The sequence below is a fragment of the Homo sapiens genome, chromosome 17, assembly GCF_000001405.40.
Source record: "Homo sapiens chromosome 17, GRCh38.p14 Primary Assembly".
NCBI lineage: Eukaryota > Metazoa > Chordata > Mammalia > Primates > Hominidae > Homo > Homo sapiens.
In genome coordinates, this window is record NC_000017.11 from 37,366,040 (window position 1) to 37,393,961 (window position 27,922).

General features: G+C 44.1%; 2 protein-coding genes across 15 annotated transcripts in view; one reads left to right on the top strand and one right to left on the bottom strand.

Annotated features, from left to right (window-relative positions):
* Window positions 1-27,922, bottom strand: part of ACACA (acetyl-CoA carboxylase alpha) — a 321,845-nt gene that overhangs the window by 281,048 nt on the left and 12,875 nt on the right. The window contains exons 2-3 of one of the 11 annotated variants that reach the window (NM_198839.3): window positions 3,331-3,448; window positions 904-1,021 (exon numbers count right to left, since the gene is read on the bottom strand). The exons of 5 other annotated variants lie outside the window; for them this stretch is intronic. The gene's annotated coding sequence lies outside the window, so the exon portion shown is untranslated. Of the gene's footprint in view, window positions 1-903; window positions 1,022-1,080; window positions 1,684-2,629; window positions 2,728-3,330; window positions 3,449-27,922 lie in introns of those variants that run through there. 5 more of the 11 variants (XM_047435881.1, XM_047435879.1, XM_047435880.1 and 2 more) reach the window with 5 other exon arrangements.
* C17orf78 (chromosome 17 open reading frame 78) lies at window positions 9,946-26,669 on the top strand. 4 transcript variants are annotated; one of them, NM_173625.5, is made up of 7 exons: window positions 9,946-10,111; window positions 11,840-11,926; window positions 13,098-13,343; window positions 19,970-20,086; window positions 22,631-22,755; window positions 23,207-23,323; window positions 25,608-26,669. In NM_173625.5, exons 1-7 carry the CDS (start codon window positions 10,054-10,056, stop codon window positions 25,683-25,685), a joined length of 828 nt encoding a protein of 275 aa, NP_775896.3. In that variant the 5' UTR covers window positions 9,946-10,053; the 3' UTR covers window positions 25,686-26,669. The 4 variants fall into 4 exon arrangements, with proteins under 4 accessions (NP_775896.3, XP_011522950.1, XP_011522949.1 ...); XM_011524648.4 differs by lacking the exon at window positions 19,970-20,086; XM_011524647.4 differs by lacking the exon at window positions 11,840-11,926.

Genomic DNA, 27,922 nt, shown 5'->3' on the forward strand with positions numbered 1-27,922 from the left:
TGGACAAGATGACTTGTTTGGATTTTGCCCAGTCGTAGGATTCTGACATTTTATGTTGATCAGCTTTATAGCCTAGCCATCCCTGACTTCACTTTCCTCTAAAGCCATGACGGTGCTCCTGGTAAGTTGATTTCCTGCCCCATCCCTACCTTCTCTTTAGACTTCCCTAGTGTCTCCATCATTCCTATATCAGGTTCAGGTTTTTCCTGCTACATATTTAGGCCTCTACCTGTCTTCTACCTTCACTCTCTATTGTTGTTATTATATATGAAACACAATACATAATAAAATATAACATTAATAATTTTGTAGAGCCTTTATCGTCAAGAAAAATTGAGCCATCATTCAATTTCTTTTTATCCTTTTAATACCTTGTCTTAAAATTTTCCTGTATGTGATATCTTAGAGCAGAAGATTTCACAATGTCATGTCTTTTTTTTTTTTTTTGAGACGGAGTCTCACTCTGTCACCCAGGCTGGAGTGCAGTGGCACGATATCAGCTCACTGCAACCTCTGCCTCCCGGGTTCAAGCAATTCTCCTGCCTCAGCCTCCCAAGTAGCTGGGATTACAGGCACCTGCCACCACGCCTGGCTAATTTTTGTATATTTAGTAGAGACAGGGTTTCACCATTTTGGCCAGGCTGATCTGGAATTCCTAACCTTGTGATCCACCCGCCTTAGCCTCCCAAAGTGCTGGGATTACACACGTGAGCCACTGCACCTGGCCACAATGTCACGTCTTTTTAAAAAAAAAATCTCACCTCTGGGCCAGGTGTGGTGGCTCATGCCTGTAATCCCAGCACTTTGGGAGGCCAAGGCAATAGGGTTACCTGAGGTCAGGAGTTTGTGACCAGCATGACCAACATAGAGAAACCCTGTCTCTACTAAAAGTACAAAAATTACCTGGGTGTTGTGGCAGGCACCTATAATCCCAGCTACTCAGGAGGCTGAGGCAGGAGAATCCGTTGAATCCGGGAGGCGGAGGTTGCAGTGAGCCAAGATCATGCCATTGCACTCCAGCCTGAGTGACAGAGCAAGACTGCGTCTCAGAAAAAAATATATATATATATATCATCTCACCTCTGGTTAACTCCTAGACCTGCAGGTAGAAAGTTATTTTCCAACACAAGTCTTGTTTATCAGTGGACCTATTGTGCTGATGTGCCCAATTTTCTTATTGGAAAAAGAAAAAAAAAAAAAGAAGAAAGAATAAAGACAACAAAAAATCCATGAAAAGGAAATGTAGCTTCAATCAATGAACAAGATGGTCATAATCAGTTGAATAACATAGTTTTGGGGGTGAATACAGGCAAGCAAAACTGAGAAGAACCGATTCTTGGTATTGGCAGTGTCAGTCTCAAGAGCGGCAGCAACTCTACCTTCTCTGTGCTCTGTATTATAAACAGCTTGAGCTCTTTAATCAGGCTATGCTTTAAATCCTGACTCTGTCGCTAATTAGCTCTGTGGCCTTGAGGAACTGACACCTTTCTGAGCCTCAGTTTCCTTATCTATATTATATATATCTATCTTATATTCAGGATATAAAGCCTACCTTCTAAGGTGGTGTTTTGGATTAAATGATGTAACCAACATGTTAAGCTTCTGGCACAGAGCTTGTTAGATAGTAGGCACACAGAAAATATTACTTTCCCCTTTCTCTCCATGTTCCTTTCCTTTCATTTCCTATTAGTAATCGATACAGAACAGAATGCTTTATGGATCCTCAATTAATTCAGAAATTGTGATTGCTGGGCACAGTGGTTTATGCTTGCAATCCCAACACTGTGAGAGGCCAAGGTGGGTGGATCACCTGAGGTCAGGAGTTCAAGATGAACCTGGCCAACATGATGAAACCCCGTCTCTACCAAAAATACAAAATTAGCCGGGTGTGGTGGCACACACCTATAGTCCTAGCTACTTGGGAGGCTGAGAAAGGAGAATTGCTTGAACCCGGGAGGCGGAGGTTGCAGTGAGCCGAGATCACACCACTGCACTCCAGCCTGGGCAAGACAGAGTGAGACTCCGTCTCAAACAAACAAACAAACAAAAAATTGTGTCATTACTAAATTCACTGCCTCCTGCACCCACCATGAGCAACAGAGTGGAGGCCCTGTCTTAGCTATGAGGGAGGCTGAGGAAGGAGAATCACTTGAACCCGAGGGGCGGAGGTTGCAGTGAGCCGTGTTTGCACCACTGCACTCCAGCCTGGGTGACAGAGCGAGACTCCGTCTCAAAAAATAAATAAATAAAAAATTCAGTGGCTGGGCACTGTGGTTCACACCTATAATCCCAGAACTTTGGGAGGCCAAGGTGGGTGAATCACCTGAGGTCAGGAGTTCAAGACCAGCCTGGCCAACATGGTGAAACCCTGTCTCTACTAAAAATACAAAAATTAGCTGGGCATGGTGGCGGGAACCTGTAATCCCAGCTACTCGGGAAGCTGAAGGAGGAGAATCACTTGATCCCAGGTGGTGGTGGTTGCAGTGAGCCAAAATTGCGCCATTGCACTCCAGCCTGGGTGACAAGAGCAAGACTCCATCTAAAAAAATAATAATAATAAAATGAAAATTCAGTTCACCAACCCATCCGCCCCAATATTTCCAGGTTAATGGAGCATGTGATCAGGGACCTTGGGATATTATGAATCCTTTACCCTTACTTGGAAGGAGCAAATGACTGTGGCCTGAGCTTCTGAGTACCAACCAAAGGGCTGGCACGTGTGAGTATGCCTGGCCCCACTCAGGCTTATTATTGCATCACACAGGAAAGATTCTTTGGCCCCTTTGGCAAGCATGTGTAATAGTAGGAACCTGCATATATTACAAGTAGGAGTGTAATGAGGACAATCCCTTAGAAAACAGTTTGGCATTAATTGGTAAAGTTGTACATACCCTACATACCCTATAACCAGCGTCTACTTCTGGATTTATACCCTGGAGAAACTTTCAAAACTGCCCCAGAAACATTGCTCATTATGGCTACAAACTGGAAACAACACAAATGTCTCTCAACAGGAGAATGAATATATAAATTGTGATACATTCATACAATGAAATATTATAAAGCAATGAGAATGAACAGATGATTGCTACATGAAGAAATACGGATGGATTTTACCAACATAATGTTGAGCAAAAAATGTATGTTTCCTGCTACAAAAACAGGCAAAACAGGCCAGGTACCAGTGGCTCATGCCTATAATTCTAGCACTTTGAGAGGCTAAAGCAGGAGGATCACTTGAGGCCAGGAGTTCGCGACCAGCCTGGGCAGCATAGGGAGACCCTATCTCACAAAAATTATAAACAATTTAGCTGGGCAAGTGATACACGCCTGTAGTCCCAGCTACTTGGGTGGCTGAGGTGGGAGGATTGCTTGAGCCCAGGAGTTGGAGGCTTCAGTGAGTCTTGATCACACAATTCCACTCCAGGCTGGGTGACATAGCAAGACCCTGTCAAAATAAAACAACAACAAAAAAATGGGCAAAACAAGCCAGGTGCATGCCCCTGTAGTCTCAGCTAGTCAGGAAGCTGAGATGGTAGGATCACTTGAGCCTAGGAGTTCAAATCTGGCCTGGGCAACACACAGAGAGAGAGAGACCCCATTTCTAGAAAAAAAAAAATAGGCAAAACTCATTTGTGATGGCAAGAATCTGGATAATACATTCTTTTTTTTGTTTTGTTTTTGAGATGGAGTCTTGCTCTGTAACTGCAGGCTGGAGGGCAGTGGTGCAATCTTGGCTCACTGCAACCTCCACCTCCCAGGTTCAAGCAATTCTCCTGCCTCAGCTTCCCGAGTAGCTGAGATTACAGGTGCGTACCACCACACCCATCTAATTTTTGTATTTTTAGTAGAGACGAGGTTTCACCACGTTGGCCAGGCTGGTCTCCAACTCCTGACCTCAGGTGATCTGCCCTCCTTGGCCTCCCAAAGTGCTGGGATTACAGGCGTGAGCCACTGCGCCTGGCCCCTCCTTTTTTTTTTTTTTTTGAGACAGAGTCTCACTCTGTCACCAAGGCTGGAGTGCAGTGGCCCAATCTCGGCTCTGCAACCTCTGCCTCCTGGGTTCAAGCGATTCTCCTGCCTCAGACTCCTGAGTAGCTGCACTACAGGCATGAGCCACCATGCCCATCTAATTTTTGTATATTTAGTAGAGACGGTGTTTCACCATGTTGGCCAGGCTGATCTTGAACTCCTGAGCTCAGGTGATCCACCTGCCTCAGCTTCCCAAAGTACTGGGAATACAGGTGTGAGCCACAGTGTCCAGCTGATAATATTTACTTTTGATGGTGAGGAGTGACTGGGAGAACACATAAAAGAAATTTCCAGCCCAGACGCGGTGGCTCACGCCTGTAATCCTAGCACTTTGGGAGGCCAAGGCAGGCGGATTGCCTGAGCTCAGTAGTTCAAGACCAGCCTGGGCAACACGGTGAAAACTAGTCTCTACTAAAAAAAAAAAAAAAAAAAAAAATTAGCCGGGCATGGTGGTGTGTGCCTGTAGTCTCAACTACTTGGGAGGCTGAGGCAGAAGAATTGCTTGAACCCGGGAGGTGGACGTTGCAGTGAGCCGAGATTGTGCCACTGCACTCCAGCCTGGGTGACAGAGCTAGACTCTGTCTCCAAAAATAATGTAAATAAATAAATAAATAAATAAATAAAAATTAGGCCAGGTACGGTGACTCATCCCTGTAATCCCTGCACTTTGGGAGGCTGAGGTGGGCGGATCACCCTGAGGTCAGGAGTTCGAGACCAGGCCGGCCAACATGGCGAAACCCCGTCTCTACTAAAAATACAAAAATTAGCCGGACTTGGTGGCACATGCCTGTAATCCCAGCTGCTTGGAAGGCTGAGGCAGGAGAATCGCCTGAACCTGGGAGGCAGAGGTTGTAGTGAACTGAGATTATGCCACTGCACTCCAGCTTGGGCAACAGAGCAAGACTCCATCTCAAAAAAAAAAAAATACATAGAGTTTGATTCCATTTATATAACATTCAAAAGTAAACAAAATATTTTTAGTGATACATATATAGAGAGTTCAATTTTTTTGTTTGTTTGTTTTTGAGATGGAATTTCACTCTTGTTGCCCAGGCTGGAGTGCAATGTCACGATCTCGGCTCACTGCAACCTCCACCTCCCGCGTTCAAGTGATTCTCCTGCCTCAGCCCCCCGAGTAGCTGGGATTACAGGCATCTGCCACCATGCCTGGCTAATTTTGTATTTTTAGTAGAGACAGGGTTTCTCCATGTTGGTCAGGCGTGTCTTGAACTCCTGACCTCAGGTGATCCACCTAACTCAGCCTCCCAAAGTGCTGGGATACACGCATGAGCCACGACGCCCGGCTGATAGTTCAATGATTTTACAAAACATGGAAAAATAAAGATTGGGAGGAGGAAAGAGACCGGAGGACCAGAGGCACAGACATGTAAAGAGCATCCATGATGCTGGCAATGTTCAATTTCTTAATTTGGGTGATGGTAACATATGTTCACCTTTTCAGTATTATTATTATTATTGAAAATATACTTATGTTCTATATACTCTCCTGTATATATGGTATATTCCACAATTAAAAAACGGCCGCGGCCAGGCCGAGTAGCTCACGCCTGTAATCCCAGCACTTTGGGAGGCTGAGGCGGGTGGACCACTTGAGGTCAGGAGTTTGAGACCAGCCTGACCAACATGGTGAAACCCCGTCTCTACTAAAAATACAAAAATTAGCCAGGCGTGGTGATGGGCGCTTGTAATCCCACCTATTCGGGAGGCTGAGGCAGGAGAATGGCTTGAACCTGGGAGGCGGAGGTTGCAGTGAGCTGAGATCACGCCACCGTACTCCAGCCTGGGGGACACAGCGAGACTACGTCTCAAAAAAAAATAAAGGAAAAGAAATAAAGAAATAAAATGGCCATGCTGGTGGCTGATCCCTATGATCCCAGCACTTTGAGAGGCTGGGGTGGGAGGGCTGCTTGAGCCAGGAGTTCAAGACCAGCTTCGGCAACATACTGAGACCCTGCCTCCATTATTAAATTTTTTAAATTTAAAAACAAACCAAAACAAATGAACAAAATGGCATGCAGCCTTTAAAAAGCAGTAGCATAAGCCAGACGCAGTAGTTCACGCCTGTAATCCCAGCACTTTGGGAGGCCAAGGCAGGTGGATCACGAGGTCAGGAGATCAAGACCATCCTGGCTAACACGGTGAAACCCCATCTCTACTAAAAATACAAAAAATTAGCCAAGCGTGGTGGCGGGCACCTGTAGTCCCAGCTACTTGGGAGGCTGAGGCAGGAGAATGGTGTGAACCCAGGAGGCGGAGCTTGCAGTGAGCCGAGATCGCGCCACTGCACTCCAGCCTGGGCGACAGAGCGAGACTCTGTCTCGAAAAAAAAAAAAAAAAAGAGTAGCATAGTGTGCAGGTACAATAATTTTAAAGCTAGAAGAGGCCTTGTAAGCCATTTTGTCTAACCACCTCATTACAGAAACCGAAATAGAGGCCAAGAGAAGACAAGTGACCTGTTCAAATTGATTTAGTCAATTAAAGAGCCTAGGGTAGGCCTCCTGGCTTCCTGTCAAGTGCTCCTTCTGCAGACCCATCCTGATTCATCCATTTGGTCCTAGTTCCTACTCTCTTCCAACGCCATATCTCTGAACTGCATATGTCATAAAACTCATAACTTTTTTCCTGCTAAATTTGATGTTTTTGTTGTGGGAAAAGGAGATCAGAAGAGATATACTCTGCTCCACTGATATTCCAAATGCTTAGAAAGTCAGTCAAAATATCTAGGAGTAGAGAAATAGTCTATTAGAAATAATAGAAACATGGATCTATTTGTCTACACTTGGATTTTTTTTTTTTTTGGTGGGGGAGGATGGAGTCTCGCACTGTCACCCAGGCTGGAGTGCAGTGGTGCAATCTCGGCTCACTGCAACCTCCGCCTCCCGGGTTCAAGTGATTCTCTTGCCTCAGCCTCCCAAGTAGCTGGGACTATAGGCATGTGCCACGACGCCCAGATAATTTTTGTATTTTTGGTGGAGATGGGGTTTCACCATGTTGGCCAGGCTGGTCTTGAACTCCTGACCTCGTGATCCACCTGACTCAGCCTCCCAAAGTGCTGGGATTATGGGCGTGAGCCACGGTGCCCGGCCTACTCCTGGATATTTTGACTGCAGCTCTTCCACCGCTCTGCCCCCGACAGTATGGCCTACTCCAATATGCAGGCTGACTTTTTTTTTTAAATGGAGTCTTGCTCTGTCGCTTAGGATGGAGAGCAGTGGTGTGCTGTTGGCTCACCACAACCTCTGCTTCCTGAGTTCAAATGATTCTCCTGTCTCAGCCTCCCAAGTAGCTGGGATTAGAGACATGCGCTACCACTCCTGGCTAATTTTGTATTTTTAGTAGAGACAGGGTTTAACCTTGTTAGTCAAGCTGGTCTTGAACTCCTGACCTCAAGTGTCCACCCGCCTTGGCCTCCCAACGTGCTGGGATTACAGGTGTGAACTACCGTGCCTGGCCCAGGCTGACTTTAGAGTCTTTAAGTTACAAAAGAAAAGGGTAGGGTCTGCGAGGTGATCAAAGAAAACTCTTAGACTTCATCTTTCGCCAAGCACAAGGTCTCTTTTGGGAAAAGTGAGCTCTTTTGCCACCTTGTGACACTGGATGAGAACAGCAAGCCCTCAGATCAATTCCTACTCCTGCTCCAAGGTGGCAGCATTGTACCGTGGCATCTAGGAACTAATGTACAGAGAGTTTCAAATAGAGCAACAGGAGGGAAGGTGATAATACCTCAGGGGAGCAGAGAATCATGTCATCATGTTAAGGAAATAGTAAGCAAAAATCACAAAACCCAAGGAAGGCAATGGAGCCCCTCTGCCCTAACCACCTCCTCTGCTAAGAGAAGCAGGCAGCCAGAGGCAAGAGGGTGGGGAGGATGAATAAAGATTTCCTTGGACCAATAAAGATGTGAGGCATTTATGTTCCCTCTAGTCAGTGGCCTCATTTCTCTGCTTTCTTTCTCATAGCAAAACTTTTTTAAAAAGTTTTCTAGTCTGGGTGCAGTGGCTCACACCTGTAACCCCAGCAATTTGGGAGGCCAAGGTGGGCAGATTACTGGAGCTCAGGAGTTTGAGACCAACCTGGGCAACACAGTGAGACTGTGTCTCTACAAAACATAGCCCATCTCCAAAATAAAACAAGACCAAAGAAGCTGTAGAGTTTGATAAAGATGGGGTAGATCTTTATTCTCTTTTTTTTCTTTTCTTTTTTTTTTTTTTGAGACGGAGTTTCGCTCTTGTTGCCCAGGCTGGAGTGCAATGGTGCAATCTCGGCTCACTGCAACCTCCACCTCCCAGGTTCAAGCGATTCTCCTACCTCAGCCTCCCAAGTAGCTGGGATTACAAACATGCGCCACCATGCCCAGCTAATTTTTGTACTTTCAGTAGAGATGGAGTTTCTCCATGTTGGTCAGGCTGGTCTCGAACTCCCGACCTCAGGTCATCCACCCGCCTCAGCCACCCAAAGTGCTGGGATTACAGGCGTGAGCCACCGCGCCCGGCCCTTCATTCTCTTTTATGCTCCATCTATCTATGCCATGACAAAGTCTACAGATTATTACACTAGACACTAAAAAAATACAAATTTGGAAAAATCTTCAACAACAGTTATCTGTCTAGGAAAACCTTCCCAAGCCACAGACAGTACCACTCACCTGCCGTATTTAGCTCTTCCTCACAACCTCTCAGCCCAATGGTCATCAGAATGTTGTCCACCAATACTCACTTCACTATTCAGGAGTGTGAAGATGTGCAAAACTCAATAGGTATGTCTGTGCTAATGTGAGTTTATATATATAACTGGATTAATTCTAGAGATCATATGGTTCACGGCCGGCTGGGGTGGCTCACGGCTGTAATCCCAGCACTTTGGGAGGCCGATGGGGGCAGATCACTTGAGGTCAGGAGTTCGAGACCAGCCTGGCCAACATGGTGAAACCTGTCTCTACTAAAAATATAAAAATTAGCCGGCAGGGTGGCACACACATTTAATCCCAGCTATTCAGGAGACTGAGGCAGGAGAATCACTTGAACCCAGGAGATGAAGGTTGCAGTGAGCCAAGATTATGCCACTGCACTCCAGCCTGGGCAACAGAACGAGACTCCATTTCACAAAAAAAAAGGCCAGGCACGGTGGCTCATGCCTGTAATCCCAGCACTTCGGGAGGCCGAGGCAGGTGGATCACGAGATCAGGAGATTAAGACCATCCTGTCTAACACGGTGAAACGCTGTCTCTACTAAAAATACAAAAACATTAGCCAGGCATGGTAGTGGGCGCCTGTAGTCCCACCTACTCAGGAGGCTGAGGCAGGAGAATGGCGTGAACCTGGGAGACAGAGCTTGCAGTGAGCCGAGATCGTGTCACTACACTCCAGCCTGGGCGACCGAGCGAGACTCTGCCTCAAAAAAAAAAGAGATCATATGGTTCAGGACTCTCAATTTATAGAAGAGAACATTTAGATCCCAAGAAGTCAAGTAATTTTCTCAAGGTGATAGCTCATAAAAGGGCCTGTACTAGAACTCAATTGTACTGACTCCTAGTCCTAGTTTCCTGCTCTATTTCTATAATTCCTGCTCTAGAAATTATATTCCTTACTAGAAATCTCCACATCTTTTCATGAAAGTATATAAATCTCTGTGCCTGTGTCAGTGAGCATGCATGTAAATGTCTACGTGTCTATCTGCAAGTATTTGTAAAGCATATCAATGGGCGTTTATGGCCTTCCTGCTCGAGAAACCTCTAGGTAATCTAGTTCTCTATGTCGGCACCGGCAGCGAAGTCAGAAGAAGTCTGAGTGAATTATTAATAAGCAGAATTAGCCCTTTCTCCAATTAGATCTATTCCTGGGTCTTCAGGAAATGGGGCAAAATAATCAGGGTGGAATCAGAGTCTCTCAGGGTCAAACTTGGTTCCAGCTGCGTGTGGTGAAAGCAACTAGAGGCAGAGCTATCAAGGGCTGTGACAGATGAGCAGTGGTCTGTCTGCAATGAGCATGTGCTCAAGCTAACATGGATACCATCTTGGTCTTCAGCCTAATCATTGCATCCTATGATGCCAACAAGAAAGGTATGTAATTCTCTAGCCTAATCTCCTGGAAAATACAGAGAGAGGCCTAGAAAGAGTTTCGGGGTCTCTTCCACCAGATAGAGATGTAGCTGATATCCAGCAAGCAATACTTTCCAGAGTTAATCCCATGTATCCACTCGCCTCTAAGAAGGACTGCAACTTATTCATTCCAGAGAGATAGCTGTCTGTTTCATGATGAGAGGTCTTCAGAGAATGTGATGCATTCTTATGTCTTGTTCATGTAATTAACATTAAAAGTCCTTTCACTGTTGGATGGCTTTCTTTAGAGTTTCAGTATTGTCATCACCTAAGGTTCCCAAATTCATACTGTTCATAAGATGTTGCCTTTTTTAAGTTGGTACATGTAAATAGCTAGACGGTGATATTCTTGGGTGGGGAGAGCTGAGGGAAAGGGTGATATTGGGTGGAATGGCATCATTTGCTGCTCTTTGGTAACTGCTTATTTAAAATATGAGTTTTCAAAGTTTCATAAACATTTCATCTCTAAAATTAGCTAATCAAGGCTGGGCACGGTGGCTCATGACTGTAATCCCAGCACTTTGGGAGGCCAAGATTGGTGGATCACCTGAGGTCAGGAGTTCGAGACCAGCCTGGCCAACATGGCGAAACCCCATCTCTACTAAAAGTGCAAAAATTAGCCAGGCATGGTGGCATGCACCTGTAATCTCAGCTACTCGGGTGGCTGAGGCATAAGAATCACTTAAACCTGGGAGGTGAGGTTGCAATGAGCTGAGATCGTACCACTGAAATCCAGCCTAGGTAACAGAATGAGACTCTGTCTCAAAAAATAAAAAATTAAAATAAAAAAATAAAATTAGCTAATCAGAATTAAGACCAAATGGCACAAAGTGCAGCAGTAACGAATTTGACAAATTATAAAAATGTCACAACCCTTTGAATTATGTGCCAAAAAGCATAAATAACTAAGACCTATGGTTCTGTGGAAACCTATAGAGATACCAAGGTCAGACAATATAAATCTCCAAAAGCTTTATTTAATACAAGAAAGAAGACAGAATAGGAGGGAGAAGAGAAAATAAGCAGTATTTAAGGAAATGGGTTGGTTAGACTTTCATTAACTTAGTAAATTTTCTTAACTCTATTTGACCTTTCTTTGTCCTAAGGGTAATAGATTGGTACACAGTATTCTTTATACTAGGTCAACTACTACTTTGTATGTATTTGGCTGGGTGTTCTTTTTTGAGGGCCGGGCGTGGTGGCTCACACCTGTCATCCTAGCACTTTTGGGAGGCCAAGGCAGGTGGATCACCTGAAGTAAGGAGTTTGAGACCAGCATAGCCAAAATGGCGAAACCCCATCTCTACTAAAAATACAAAAATTAGCTGGGCATGGTGGTGCATGCCCGTAATCCCAGCTACTCGGGAGGCTGAGGCAGAAGAATCCCTTGAACCCAGGAGGTGAATGTTGCAATGAGCGGAGATCACGTCACTGCACTCCATCCTGGGCGACAGAGTGAGACTCCGTCTCAATAAATAAATAAATAAATAAATAAATAAATAAATAAATAAATAAAAGTAAAGTCTTTTTAGAGAGTGTTTGATCTCCCAAGTTGCAAGTTTTATGAGCAGGAACTGCAATCTTTCATATCTTCTCCATTGCCCAGAATTCTAAAAAGTAAGTACCAGTAAATTCTGATTTTCCCCAAACCTTCCCCGGTTCCCCTCCTCCCCCTCTGCTCACCCCCAGACCTCAGAGATAGCAGTTGCCGACTGGAACAGCTGCCTGGGATCTTCCCAAAAGACGTGAGAAGCATCAGAGAATTGCAAATGCAAGGTAGGGAATGGGTCCTTTCTGGAAAATGATATTGCCATTCCAAAAAATTTTTACCTTTAAAAGATATCTCATCTTCCCACTTCCTAGCCCATATCTCAAATATCCTATTTTAAGGATATGTATCCTCCCAGGGGGCTTTCTGGAAACCAATCTTTAAATTAACTGTCATTACCTAAGGCATGCTTATATTACTCAAATGGATGGAGATGAAAAAAGAGAAGGAGGCAGAACCTACCCCTCTCTGCATTAAAGAAAAATCTATGAGCATTTCTCTGTGCTAAATTTACTGCTGTCACCAACCTTCATGGGAACCATGGCAGAAGAAAGGCAGGACTTGTCTATTAGTACTATGAACACAAACTGAAGAAGTTAACTAAAAGGAGAGAAAGTACAGCAGTGGAGTTTAGCAGGGGTCATGAATGGAAATGGGTTAGCTTGGCACTGTTCAGATTAAAAACCAGCTTTGGCCAGGCATGGTGGCTCACACCTGTAATCCCAGCACTTTGGGAGGCCAAGGCAGGTGGATCACTTGAGCTTACGAGTTTGAGACTAGCCTGACCAACATAGTGAAACCCCATCTCTACTAAAGATACAAAAATCAGCTGGATGTGGTGGTGCACGCCTGTAACCCCAGCTACCTGGGAGGCTGAGGCAGGAGAATCACTTGAACCAGAGAGGCGGAGGTTGCAGTGAGCTGAGATTGCGCCATTGCACTCCAGCCTGAGCAACAAGAGCAAAACTCTGGGCAACAAGAGCAAAACTCAGAGATCGTGCCATTGCACTCTAGCCTGGACCACAAGAGCAAACGCTTCAAGGTCGGGTGCGGTGGCTCATGTCTGTAATCCCAGCACTTTGGGAGGCCAAGGTGGGAGGATTGCTTGAGCCCAGGAGTTCGAGACCAGCTTGGGCAACACAGCAAGACCCTGTCTTTTAAAAAATTAAAAAATTAGCCGAGCAAAGTGGCATACACCTGTAGTCCCATAGTCACAGCTACTCAGGAGGCTGAGGTGGGAGGATTGCTTGGAGATCGAGGGAGTTTGAGGCTGGAGTGAGCCATGATTGCGACACTGCACTCCAGCTTGGGTGACAGAGCAAGGCACCGTCTCAAAAAAACCAACCAAACAAAAAACAAAACCAGCTCCATTTTTCTATCTGGTTCTTCTCCTTCCAGAAACTCACACAGAAACCAAAAGGACAACATTCATTCAAAACCGGACTATAGCTACCCTGCAGTGCCTTGGCTCTGACAGCAAAGTAAAAGTCAACCTTGTATATTTGGAGAGAAGGCCAAAGGTCAAGCATATTTTGAAGAACCTGAGAATCATTGCTGCTCCCCGCAGAAACAGCTCTGCCTCCTCAAGCTGTCACCTAATCCCCACATCCAAGTTTCAGACTGGATCTCTTCTAAAAGGCAAAGGTGAGATTGGAAAAGAGGAAGGGGGCAGGCACTAACTTTTAGTTGACATCCTTGAAGGCAGCCAGAACTCCGTAGCAGGAAAAGCTACAAGAAAATGAATTATCCACTTTTTGATGGGGTTGTTTGTTTTTTTTCTTGTAAATTTGTTTGAGTTCATTGTAGATTCTGGATATTAGCCCTTTGTCAGATGAGTAGGTTGCGAAAATTTTCTCCCATCAAAAAGTGGGCAAAGGACATGAACAGACACTTCTCAAAAGAAGACATTTATGCAGCCAAAAAACACATGAAAAAATGCTCATGATCACTGGCCATCAGAGAAATGCAAATCAAAACCACAATGAGATACCATCTCACACCAGTTAGAATGGCAATCATTAAAAAGTCAGGAAACAACAGGTGCTGGAGAGGATGTGGAGAAATAGGAACACTTTTACACTGTTGGTGGGACTGTAAACTAGTTCAACCATTGTGGAAGTCAGTGTGGCGATTCCTCAGGGATCTAGAACTAGAAATACCATTTGACCCAGCCATCCCATTACTGGGTATATACCCAAAGGACTATAAATCATGCTGCTATAAAGACACATGCACACGTATGTTTACTGCGGCACTATTCACAATAGCAAAGACTTGGAACCAACCCAAATGTCCAATAATGATAGACTGGATTAAGAAAATGTGGCACATATACACCATGGAATACTATGCAGCCATAAAAAACAATGAGTTCATGTCCTTTGTAGGGACATGGATGAAATTGGACATCATCATTCTCAGTAAACTATCACAAGAACAAAAAACCAAACACCGCATATTCTCACTCATAGGTGGGAATTGAACAATGAGATCACATGGACACAGGAAGGGGAACATCAGACTCTGGGGACTGTTGTGGGGTGGGGGGAGGGGGGAGGGATAGCATCGGGAGATATACCTAATGCTAGATGACGAGTTAGTGGGTGCAGCGCACCAGCATGGCACATGTATACATATGTAACTAACCTGCACAATGTGCACATGTACCCTAAAACTTAAAGTATAATAATAAAAGAAAAAAAAAAGAAAATGAATTATCCTCCCCTTGGGCAAATCTACGTGCTCTCTGAGAGTCAGTTTTATAATCTCTAAGATCCCTTCTAGCCCTGATACTCTGTGATTTTCATGTGATCTCCATTTCTGATGGATCTTCTTTCAACAGTTTTTTAAAATTTCTTTTTTTTTGTTTTTGTTTTTGAGATGGTGTCTCGTTCTGTCACCCAGGTTGGAGTCCAGTGGTGCGATCTTGGCCCACTGCAACCTCTGCCTCCCAGGTTAAAGTGATTCTCCTGCCTCAGCCTCCCAAGTAGCTAGGATTACAGGTGTCTGCCACCATGGCTGGCTAATTTTTGTATTTTTAGTAGAGACAGGATTTCACCATGTTGGCCAGGCAGGTTCTGATCTCTGACCTCAAGTATCTGCCCGCCTTGGCCTCCCAAACTGCTGGGATTACAGGCGTGAGCCACCGTGCCTGGCCAGGTTTTTTTTTTTTTTAATTTCATTTTGCATGCACACAGTAAAATATTCAAACAGTATAGATTTATAGTGAAAAGTAAGTCTCTCTCCTACTCCTGTCTCTCAATTCTCCAGTTCTCTATCCCTGATGGAACCACTATTATCAACTTATTATATTTCCTTCCGGAGATACTCTAAGAATGTATGAATGTGCATATTTTAAAAACATAAATGGTAACATACCATATACACTGTTCTGCCCCTTGCTTTTGCTTGTTTTTGTTTTTTGTTGTTATTGTTATTTTGTTGTTGTTGTTGTTGTTTTCTTTGGAGATGGAGTCTCACTCTGTCACCCAGGCTGGAGCGCAGTGGCGCGATCTCGTCTCACTGCAACCTCCTCCTCCCAGGTTCACGTGATTCTCCTGTCTCAGCTTTCCAATTAGCTGGGATTACAGGTGCCCACCACCACACCCAGTGAATTTCTGTATTTTTAGTAGAGACAAGGTTTCACCATGTTGGCCAGGCTAGTGTTGAACTCCTGACTTCAAGTGTTTCACCCACCTCAGCCTCCCAAAGTGCTAGGATTACAAGCGTTAGCCACTGCGCCTGGCCAATCCCTTGCTTTTCCATTTAATAATATATCTTATAGGTCGTTCCATTTCAATACGTATATATTTACCCCATACTTTTTTATATTTGCCTCATTCTTTTTAACAGTTTTACATTATTCCATAGTATGTCTCTTCCATAGTCTTTTTTTTTTTTTTTTTTTGAGACAGAGTCTCGCTCCGTTGCCCAGGCTGGAGTGCAGTGGTGCGATCTCAGCTCACTGCAAGCTCCGCCTCTCGGGTTCACGCCATTCTCCTGCCTCAGCCTCCCGAGTAGCTGGGACTACAGGCACTCGCCACCACACCCAGTTAATTTTTTGTATTTTTGGTAGAGATGGGGTTTCACCGTGTTGGCCAGGATGGTCTCGATCGCCTGACCTTGTGATCTGCCCGCCTTGGCCTCCCAAAGTGCTGGGATTACAGGCGTGAGCCACTGCACCCGGCCATGTCTCTTCTATATTCTACTAGCCCCCTATTGATATATATTTTGGTCGTTTCCAATCTTTTGCAAATACAAACAATTCCGAAAACAATGACCGTATATATTCTTCTTTTTTCTCTTTTTTCTTTTAATAAATTCTTTTCCCCTCTTTCACTATTACTCAGTATCTATATATATTCTTCTTGTATACCTGCAATTTATCAATAAGATTTATCAATTTATCAATAAGATTCCAAGAAGCAGGATTGTTGCATCAAAGGCTGATAGTTACTGCTAAATTACCCTCACTAGAGGTTGGTTCCATTGTGCATATCCACACTGGGGGAGAATGCCTATTCCCCCACAGCTGCTGGACAGTGGTTCTTAACCTCAGCCTGAAGTTTCTCTCCTTCTGCCCTCCTTTCCTTTTCTCACCCTTTCTTTTTTTCATATAGTTTTTTTTTTTCTTTAGTGTAGCCGGTTCCTCTTTATAAACTGGCAGTCCCCTAGATGCTATTGCTACATTACTGGAAAAATAAAATAAAACTTGACATTTTTAGAGAAATTGGGGATCCACAAGCAGAATAATGGAAAAAACTTTAAACTCTAGACTAAAACTGGGAAATAAGTGGATAGGCTCTCAGGATGTTACAGAAAAACTCTTAAAAACTCAAAAGCGTCAGGTGCGGTGGCTCACGCCTGTAATCCCAGCACTTTGGAAGGCCGAGGCAGGCGGATCATGAGGTCAAGAGATCAGGACCATCCTGGCCAACATGGTAAAACCTCGTCTCTACTAAAAATACAAAAATTAGCTGGGCATGGTGGCGTGTGCCTGTAGTCCTAGCTACTCAGGAGGCTGAGACAGAAGAATAGCTTGAACCCAGGATGCAGAGGTTGTAGGGAGCTGAGATCACGCCACTGCACTCCAGCCTGGCGACAGAGCGAGACTCTGTCTCAAAAAACAAAACAAAACAAAATAAAAAAATTAGCCAGGCATGGAGGCACGCGCTTGTAGTCCCAGCTACTCGGGAGGCTGAGACAGAAGAATGACTTGAACCCGGGAGGCGGAGGTTGCAGTGAGCCAAGATCACACCACTGCATTCCAGTCTGGGCAATAGAGCGAGACTCCATCTGAAAAAATAAACAAACTCAAAAGACTCTGGCAGGGTTTTGAACTTTGAATATTAATGCAAATTAATTAAATCCAATTGTTTCCCTCTTAACATGTGACACCTTGCTGTCCATGGCAGCTGTGTTGGGGAAAAGTGGACTTAAGTCATTTTGGAGTTTGGAGCACTCTGGGTGGAGTGAATATAGTGCTAGGCATTGTGAGACTTGGGGCAATTAAGGACATTAGCTCTTAGAAATTGGGACAAGGAAAACTGAGGGGTTAAGGGGGAGGAGAGATGCCAAAGATCAACCTGACCTAATTCAAAAATTTGCACTTGGTTAGCCTCCCAGAGAAAAAGAAACTCTTCCTCTTTCCTTCATAACATAGTAGTTGGTTCCCACATCTAGAATTTAAGCTAATACTCTGTACTATTTGAGCTATGCAAAAAGATTAAATGGATATTTGTAGATTAGTTTGGGGACCTAATCATCACTCATGATACATTTTTATGAAACCATAATGATGAATCCCAAAAAACCTATTTATTTATTTGAGACAGAGTCTCGCTTTGTCCCCCAGGATGGGGTACAGTGGTGCAACCTCAGCTCACTGCAACCTCCGCCTCCCAGGTTCAAGCAATTCTCGTGCTTCAGCCTCTCGAGTAGCTGGGATTACAGCACCACCATGCCCAGCTAATTTTTTGTATTTTTAGTAGAGATAGGGTTTTGCCATTTTGGCCAGGCTGGTCTCAAGCTCCTGTCCTCAAGTGAGATCACTTGAGCCCAACTCAGCCTCCCAAAGTGCTGCGATTATAGGCGTGAGCCACCTCACTTGGTCCAAAACAACCAATTTATGTATGAACTTTTGAAACATAATCCCTTCTACAAGTTTGAAACTTCCTATCCTGAATTTAAATCTCCACTCAATACCAGAAGTGATAAACCTCAAACAGGGTAGAAATAAAAATTAGAGCCGGGCGCGGTGTCTCATGCCTGTAATCCCAGCACTTTGGGAGCCCGAGGCGGGCAGAACATGAGGTCAGGAATTCGAGACCAGCCTGGCCAACATAGTGAAACCCCGTCTCTACTAAAAATACAAAAATTAGCCGGGTGTAGTGGTGTGCGCCTGTTGTCCCAGACAGTCTGCATAGGAGGATGTCCTGGAAATGGTCAGAAGACAGTTCATGAAAATGTCCTCAAGTAAAATAGAAATTTGGAACTGTAAGGGTGAGAATGTTCTGCAATACAAATGCTCATCAGAAGATGTGGGTCAACATGGAATGTAGAAAAAGGTAAATGGAGACTATTTGTTATTATTTAAGAAATTTGGAAAAGGAAAAGACGGCTGTTATCAATATTTCAAAATTTCCTTCTGGTGGAGACAGATGACTCATTAGGTCATCTTTTTCCCCCTCTTTCAATCATAATATCATTCAGTTTGCAAAGTGTTTACACACATGCTTTCTCATTTTTATTTGTTTCTGATCTTCACAACACCCCTGTGAAATAGGTAGAGCAAGTATTATTTTACTATTACCATCTTACAGATTAAAAAAAAAAACACAGATAACTTGTGGTGACTTGTCCAAAGTGAGATTTGTTTATTTTTATCTAATGTGACTTATAAACATGTAAGTTATCACTTCGAAGAACTGACTAGCACTATGATGAAAATGTTCTTGTTTTTTCTTTTGAACTTGTTGACTTTATGTCTGTCTCTGCCAATGTCTGCCAACACTGTCTTCCTGATTAAACTGGAATCGGGGATCACCTCTTCCCCTATGATTTCATGTACAGTGCCTGGTACTATGGCCACTGGCCTCTGAGGTAAAGAACTATCATTTTCTCATGGACTTAAGACATGGAAGAGTAATTTAGAAAAGTCAAGTAGAATTTATAGACCTTAATTTAATAAGCAATGATATGAGACCACTAAAAATAGAACAGAAACCACACTGTCTGAATTGGATTAGGTCAATTCTGGAGACGAGTGAGGTTATTTCCAGACTCCAGCTAGACTCTATCCATCTCCCATCACTTCCACTGCTGGTGTGAATCACATCATCTCTCATCTGGACTTTTGCAATGGCCTCCTAACAGGTTACCCTCCTTCTACCCTTGCCCACCCCAACCCATTCCCCACACAGTAGCCCAGAGATCCTTTGAAAGCAAGGCCAGGCTGGGCACAGTGGCTCATGTCTGTAACCCCAGCACTTTGGGAGGCCGAGGTGGGCAGATCACTTGAGGTCAGGAGTTTAAGACCAGCCTGGCCAGCATGGTGAAACCCCATCTCTACCAAAAAATATAAAAATTAGCCGGGTGCGATGGCATGCACCTGTAGTCTCAGCTACTTGGGAGGCTGAGGCACGAGAATCATTTTAACCTGGGAGGCAGAGGTTGCAGTGAGCTGAGATCACACCATTGCACTCCAGCCTGGGTGACAGAGGGGGACCCTGTCTTAAAAAAAAAAAAATTGCTGAATGAATGAAATCAAGGAGTACATGAAGCTGGGTGGCTTTTCCTTCTTCCAGCTCCTCCTGCTTTCCCCAGTCCCCTCTCAGAGTAGTTGATCTAGATTCTACTAGACACACTTGCAGCAGTCATTAAGGCTAACTGTGATATTTCATGTTCTTCCTTGGACTTTGGAGCCATCTCTTTTTAAAGAAGGAAACTGTCAACAGTTTTTATGGCCTTCATCTTTATTATTATTATGGCCTAAATAATGATAGGCAATGATATCATTGGCATGACTCCTTCACTTTGATCCTATGTTAGTTAAAAGTCCCATGGGCATTTAATCCATATCTCTTATTAGTGTCTCTATCCTCATTTACTCTTGGCATTATTTTGTGCTCACACCCTAAACCTATGGACAGACAGGTTAATGGGACCACAATTGGAAGTTTACTATCAGCTGGGCAGGGTTTCATCAGATAAAACCAAAGGCAGGATAAAGTTTTCCCCTAAAGTTTCATCTTTTCTACTTTGTTTTATAGCTTTTTTACCAGGGATCTCACAATGTAAAGTCCTGGGGGCTTCATCAGAGACTTTTCCCACCACTGCCCCTTCTATAACTCCTGGGAATAAAGAAGGAGAGAAAACTACAAGTACCGGTAATTTTTCTAGCTTTGAAATGACAAAGTACAGAATAAGTAGGAGTAAAATGGGAACAGAAAAGAAACATTTTTAGCCCCAGCGTTAGTCTGGATCTACTGATATTTTTCTTGAGGTTGAGAAGTTACTGAATGTACATTGAAAAATCATTCAATTTTTTATTTTAAAAAATTAGCTTCTCTAGGCCGGGTGCTGTGGCTCATGTCTGTAATCCTAGCACTTTGGGAGGCCGAGGTGGGCGGATCACCTGTGGTCAGGAGTTCAAGACCAGCCTGACCAACACGGTGAAAACCCGCCTCTACTAAAAATACAAAAATTAGCCGGACGTGGTGGCAGGTACCTGTAACCCCAGCTACTTGAGAGGCTGAGAAAGAAGAATCGCTTGAACCCAAGAGGTGGAGGCTGCAGTGAGCCGAGATTGTCCCACTGCACTCCAGCAGGGGCGACAGAGTGAGACTTTGTCTCAACAACAACAACAAAATTAGCTTCTCTATAAAGGTCCCAGAAATGTTTGTAATTTGACACCATCAATGATCATTTATCTCCACGCAAATGAGCTCACCCTGTCGCCAGAATTAGGGACAGAAAAAACTGTATTTCTGTAGTAGGTAATTCTAACCACTGTATGTATAGATGGACAATATTTAAACACTAAGCAATTATAAGAGTGATGACACCAACCAAGTGCTTTTCTTTTTCTTTTTTTTTTTTTGAGACAGGGTCTTGTGTTGCCCAGACTGGAGTGCAGTAGTGCAAACATGGCTCACTGCAGCCTTGACCTCTGGGGCTCAAGTGATCCCCCCACCTCAGCCTCCTGAGTAGCTGGGACTACAGGTGTGTGCCACCATGTTCAGCTAATTTTTAAATTTTTGTAGAGACAGGGTCTCACCACATTGTCCAAGCTGGTCTCAGACTCCTGGGCTCAAGCGATCCTACCGCCTCAGCCTCCCAAACTGCTGGGATTACAGGCATTGCCCACCACGCCCGTCCCCAAGAGCATATATTTGTTTTGATATGGAGTCTCACTCTGTCACCCAGGCCGGAGTGCAGCGATGTGATCTCAGCTCACCACAACCTCCCCCTCCTGGGTTCAAGCAATTCTCCTGCCTCAGCCTCCTGAGTAGCTGAGATTACAGGCATGCACCACCACGCCTGGCTAATTTTTGTATTTTTAGCAGAGACAGGGTTTCACTATGTTTGCCAGGCTGGTCTCGAACTCCTGACTTTGTGATCCGCCTGCCTCAGCCTCCCAAAGTGATGGGATTACAGGTGTGAGCCACTGCGCTGGGCCTCCAACAGCATACTTTCATCTTCACTGTTTTTTTGTTTTTGTTCTTTAAGATGGAGTGTCACTCTGTCCCCCAGGCTGGAGTGCAGTAGCGTAGTCTCAGCTTACTGCAACCTCTGCCTCCCGGATCCAAGAAATTCTCCTGCCTCAGCCTCCTGAGTAGCTGGGACAACAGGCATGCACCACCATGCCTGGCTAATTTTTGTATTTTTAGTAGAGACGGGTTTCACCATGTTGGCCAGGCTGGTCTCAAACTCCTGACCTCAAGTGATCTACCCACCTCAGCCTCCCAAAGTGCTGGGATTACAGGCATGAGCCACCGCACACAGCCTTCTTCACTGTTTTTTTAGCAACAGTCCTCCTTAAATTGGCCAGGACTAAAATTCTGTAAGATTCCAATTTGGGTTACATCCTAGTTTCTACCAGGGGAAAAATGTGATATTAGTAATAATGAGATGCACATTAGGGCCAGGTGAGTTGGCTCACACCTGTAATATTCCAGCACTTTGGGAGGCCAAGACTGTAGGATCACTTGAGGCCAGGAGTTCAAGCTCAGCGGGAAATATAATGAGACTCTGTCTGTATAAAAAAATTTTAAAAATTAGCCGGGCATGGTGGCGTTCGCCTGTGGTCTGAGCTACTCAGGAGGCTAAGGTGGGAGGATGGTTTGAGCCTGGGAGATTGAGGCTGAAGTGAGCCAAGATTGTGCCACTGCATGCCAGTCTTGAGTGCCAGAGTGAGAAAAAAAATGCATATTAGCCATTTGCCGCCAGATTGAGCTTCTGACCCAGAAGCAGTGCTAATTTTTACATTTCTTCCTCTTATATTCTATGAAAGCCAGGAGAAACATAGGAAAGGCGACTTTCTAATCCCATAAAATGTGTCAGAGCAAAATGGTAGGAACCCTGATAAAGCTGACAGTAAAAGAAGTTTAGAGCTCCATGTGTACCCGAGATTTTTCTTCCTGCGAGCAGTGTAAGAATCAGCCCTATGTGATTATGGAAAATCCCCAATTCCAGGGAAGGTGACTCAGTGGGAAGAGAGTGCAAAAGAAGTTAGAGCAGAGCCCATGATGCTCAGCTCACCCTCACACCCCCTCCAGCCCTGAGTTTGAATTGGAAATTCTGCCTCTGCCTCTGGGTTAGTCTGGGCCTCTAATAGTCTTGTGAGCCAGAAGAACTTCAGGTCAAAGGATCAATCTCTTTCCTCTCTCAAATTTTCTTTTCTCCCTCTTCCACTCCCCTCTCTCCTTTAGACACAGATGAGAACCTAGAGAAGAGACAGAAATGGAGTATTGTGGTCAAAATTCTGATTGCTGTCACCCTGTTGCTCAGTGGAGTTGCCATTATAGTATTTGTAATTTTTGAAGTCCCATGTCCTGTAAGTTTGCTGTTGTATTGAATCCTTGAACTTGACCCATAAAGACTTTCTTCTGTTCCAGAGGCAGCTTGGCATAAGGAGAAAAGCATAGACTTTGGAATTTGAGGAGATGTGCCACTCACACTCACTAGCTGAGTGGTGTTGGGAAAGTTGCTTGACTGTTCTAACCTCAGTGGCCTCATGTGTAAAATAAGTCTCATGATATTTGCCTCTCATGGTAGTTATAAAGATTGAGATTCTGTGTGAAAGGCACCTGGCACACAGGTGCTCACTAAATGCAGTTCCTTTCCTCTGCTGTACTTAGACATTTTCTAGGAAGGATAGGTCCAATAGGACTGAATATTTTATTTAGAAGAGATGGCTTCCTTTAAGTTGCCCAACAAGAGGTTTGGAAGAAAACCAAATGCTTACCAGCCACTTCATATTAATACCAGTCATTTTCTCCCTTCAGTATCAATGCCTAGGAGCCAGGAAGCTGTGCCAATGCCAGTGGTTGTGGAGATGGCAAAAGAAGGGAGGCCAGCCACCTGGGACAGCTGAATCCAAGCCTGACTCTCAGCCCCAGAAGGAAAGTGTTCTCTGTGTGGTTTATGTCATTTGCTTAAAGAAGGTGGGGTAGGGGCCGGGCGTGGTGGCTCACACCTCTATTCCCAGCACTTTGAGAGGCTGAGGCAGGTGGATCACCTGAGGTGATCGAGACCAGCCTGACCAACATGACGAAACCCTGTCTCTACTAAAAATACAAAAATTAGCCAGGTGGCACATGCCTGTACTCCCAGCTACTCGGAAGGCTGAGGCAGGAGAATCGCTTGAACCTGGGAGGTGGAGGTTGCAGTGAGCCGAGATTGTGCCATTGTACTCCAGCCTGGGCAACAGAGTAAGACTCTGTCTCAAAAAAAAAAGAAAGAAAAAAAGAAAAACAGAAAATGGGGTTAATATATAAGTGCTAGGAGATTCGTCCCTAAGAGGACTGTGAAAAAATATTTTTTTTAATGTGCTGGGAACAGGGAGCTGCTTCAGTTATGAAGCAAATGTGGGCAATCCTTCTTATGTCAGGAAATAGGTAGGATTTTATCCTACTGTTTTCCTAACATCAGTCCAGACATGATACAATAGGGTGCTTATTGAATACACATACCTCTGGGCCCCATATAAACTGAATCAGATCATTTAGATTGGAGTCAAGAATCTTACTTTTAAGATTTTTAAGGCCAGGCCTGATTCATCATGCCTGCAATCCCAGTGCTTTGGGAGGCAGAGGCAGAGGCAGGAGACTTGCTAGAGTCCAGGAGTTTGAGACCAGCCTAGGCAACATAGCGAGACACTGTCTCTATTAAAAAAAAAAGTATATATATATATATATATATATATATATATATATACACACACACATTATATATAAATATATATAATTATATATTTATTATATATAATTATATATAATATATTATATATATATTATATATAATTATATATAATATATTATATATAATTATATATTATACATAATTATATATATATATATATATATATATATATAAAAGGCCAGCTGGGCCGGGCACGGTGGCTCACGCCTGTAATCCTAGCACGTTGGGAGGCCAAGGCAGGTGGATCACGAGGTCAAGAGATTGAGACCATCCTAGCCAAAATGGTGAAACCCTGTCTCTACTAAAAATACAAAAATTGGTGGGGCATGGTGGTGTGCACCCGTAGTCCCAGCTACTCGGGAGGCTGAGGCAGGAGAATTGCTTGAACCCAGGAGACAGAGGTTGTGGTGAGCCGAGATTGCGCCACTATACTCCAGCCTGGGTGACAGAGCAAGACTCCGTCTCAAAAAGAGAGAAAAAAAAAAAAGCCAGCTGGTGGCATGTGCCTGTAGCCCTAGCTTCTTGGGAGGCTGAGGTGGGAGGATCACTTGGGCTCAGGAATTGAAGTCTGCAATGAGCTATGATCGAGCCACTGCACTCCAGCCTGGGAAAAAGGGTGAGACCCTGTGTCCAAAAAAAAAAAAAAATTATCATTTCTCCTGAACATTGGAAGAAATAGGCCTGAAGGGACTACAAAGTCTAGTCCAGAATAGAATTAGAGATAACCAGGTAGCTGCAACTGTGATTGAACTTCTATGAACACAATAAGCTACTAAATGATAAAGGAATAAAAATAGGGCCAGGCGTGGTGGCTCATGCCTGTAATCCCAGCACTTTGGGAGGCCGAGGTGGATGGATCATGAGGTCAGGAGTTTGAGACCAGCCTGACCAACAAGGTGAAACTGTCTCAACTAAAAATACAAAAAATTAGCCAGGCATGGTGGCACACGCCAGTAATCCCAGCTACTCAGGAGGCTGAGGCAGGATAATCGCTTGAACCCGGGAGGCACAGGCTGCGGTGAGCTGAGATCACACCACTGCACTGCAGCCTCGGTGACAGAGCGAGACTCTGTCTCAAAAAAAAATAGTACTAAGATAGCAATCTTATATACATTATCTCATTTGAGCCTTACAGAAATCCTGGAAAGTAGCCAGGGCAAGTATCTACATTTTACTCATACTTAAGTTGAGGCTTGAAGAGGTTATGTGACTTCCCAAGGTTACACAGCTGTTAGAAACAGAACTATGATCCAGATCTTTTAATTACTTTGCTAGTGGGTTATAGGTTCCAAGCAATTATTGGTTCTCATACCTATGTGCACCTTGATCATACTTTCTCAGTGTAATTATCGATTAACAAAGAGGCAAAATGAAGTGCACTTGGAATTACATGGGGTTTTGTACTTAGCCAGCCCTTTTCTTGGTACATGAAGAACTATACACTTGCATCCTTTTTTAACTTTCATATTTCCTTTCAATCTCTAGGTTGGACAAGATGCTGCCAATTCATCAAACCCAAAGAAAGCTGCAGAGATCACTGTTATCCACCAGACATACTTCTGAAAAGTTCTGCTCTATCTCAAAGACTGAATGATACTACACAGTCCTCTCCCTATTAATATGGGCACATTCTTGCCAATTTCACACTTGTATCTTCAGCAGGGACATTACAATCAAACACCAATTCCTGGTTAATGAAGGGAGAGTGTGGGCTTAGCAGAGTTACCCTCATGCCCCTATCTGAGCCACAACCTTCTGTAATTCACTTCATACATCCATCTAAATGGATACCTTTCCATCCCCTCAAACGAGAACAAAAAGTATTCCCTGCAAGCACTATGAATGGACCTTACTACTCTCTTTGACAGAAGACTCAAACACAGCCTCTAAGAAACAAGGCAGCTGTTAGTGTGACATAGCTTCCAGCTCCTCTGTTATCTTCACAGCTGACTTCACACTCACTGGCCCTCAATAGCTTAGAGTGGGACTCCTGATCTCCCTGGTTGACGTTTATAAGGTTTTGTAATTTAGCTTCTGGTACTACATGTATCTATCCACACACTGCTGAAGGGAACTTGACCCTACGCATTCCAAAAGCCTTCCTCATAAGTTATCCCCAAGGGGTTCAGGGACTACAGACCATTAGTACCCAAGTGAAGTCTTCTGACGATCCAGAATTCCTAAGGTGGCTCTGATATTATATCATACTTTAATAGAGAGTTGCATACCTTTTGGACAAAGATTCCAGAGCAAAATAATTATGATAATGCTGTTTCTCACAGGAGAATAGCTATGAGTCAAATCTAACCTGCTTAAATAAGAGTTTGGTGAGAAAGTGAAACCACCTGATCTTGAATCAATGTTGAGGTGAAAAAGGAAATGTCAGGAGGGATAAGACAGGGTGAGGCCCTGCTTCTTTTCCTAAGAGTCTGAAACCATTCCATTTCATTTTGGTGAAATGTGTCTGTTTCTAAGAAATTCTGTTTTCTTAGTTCTCTGGTTAAAAAAAAAAATACATAAACTGTATCCTTCTTTCTTTCACTTCAAGTGCTGTCCAAAAAGTGATTATCAAAACAATACCAACAGGGGAAAATCTCACCCTAAGGCTCGATTTAATATTCAAGTCCAGCCTGAAAGAGAACACATATAAAGCATGGATAATGAGGATATGTTTCAAAGAAGCTCCAAAGAACCTCTAGGGCCAGGCATGGTGGCTCACGCCTGTAATCCCAGCACTTTGGGAGGCCAAGGTGGGTGGATCACCTGAGGTAAGGAGTTTGAGACCAGCCTGGCCAACATGGTGAAACCCGTCTCTACTAAACATACAAAAATTAGCCGGGCATGGTGGAGGGCACCTATAATCTCAGCTACTGGGGAGGCTGAGGCAGGAGAATCGCTTGAACCCGGGAGGTGGAGGTTGCAGTGAGCCCCGAGATCTCACCATTGCACTCTAGCCTGAGTGACAGGAGCAAAACTCCATCTCAAAAAAAAAAAAAGAAAAAAAAAAGAACCTCTAAATGTCCATAGAGCATACCTTGAAAATATAGTAGAGAGGAAAGAGCACTGAGGTTGGCATTTGGATGAATGAGTATATTATTTGCATCCTGCCACTGATCCACGATGTTGCCTCAAGTTTATTTTGCCATCTGTGACTTAGTTTGACAATAAAATAGGAAGAAAAAAAATGCCTGCTCTTTCCCAAGACCACTGGTGAGGATGATTAAAAGCATTATATACTTAGAAGCTCTTGGTCCAGAACTAAGGCCTACATGCATCCTCACCCTTCCCAGCCTCACCCACCACTGAATGTCCCTTAATCCTGAAACATGAGATGTCCCGGGAGATAAAACCTATGGCAAAATCTGCGCTCATCAACTCTTCTACAAGAGTATAATTGGAGGCCGGGCACGGTGGCTCAAGCCTGTAATCCTAGCACCTTGGGAGGCCGAGGTGGGCAGATGGCTTGAGGCCAGGAGTTTGAGACCAGCCTGGACAACATGGTGAAACCCGTCTCTACTAAAAATACAAAAATTAGGCAGGCATGCTGGTGCGCACCTGTAATCTCAGCTACTCCAGAGGCTGAGGCACAAGAATTGCTTGAACCTGAGATTGAACCATTGCACTCCAGCCTGGGTGACAGAGCGAGACTGTCTCAAAGAAAAAAAAAAAAAGAGTATAATTTGGGTAACATTTGTACTGACTTTATAGAAATTCACAGACAGAATCAAAATTATTTTGCTTTGGGGACAATTTGTTTCCCCTGACAAAGCATAGACCCCTCTGAGGATTTTCTGACTCCC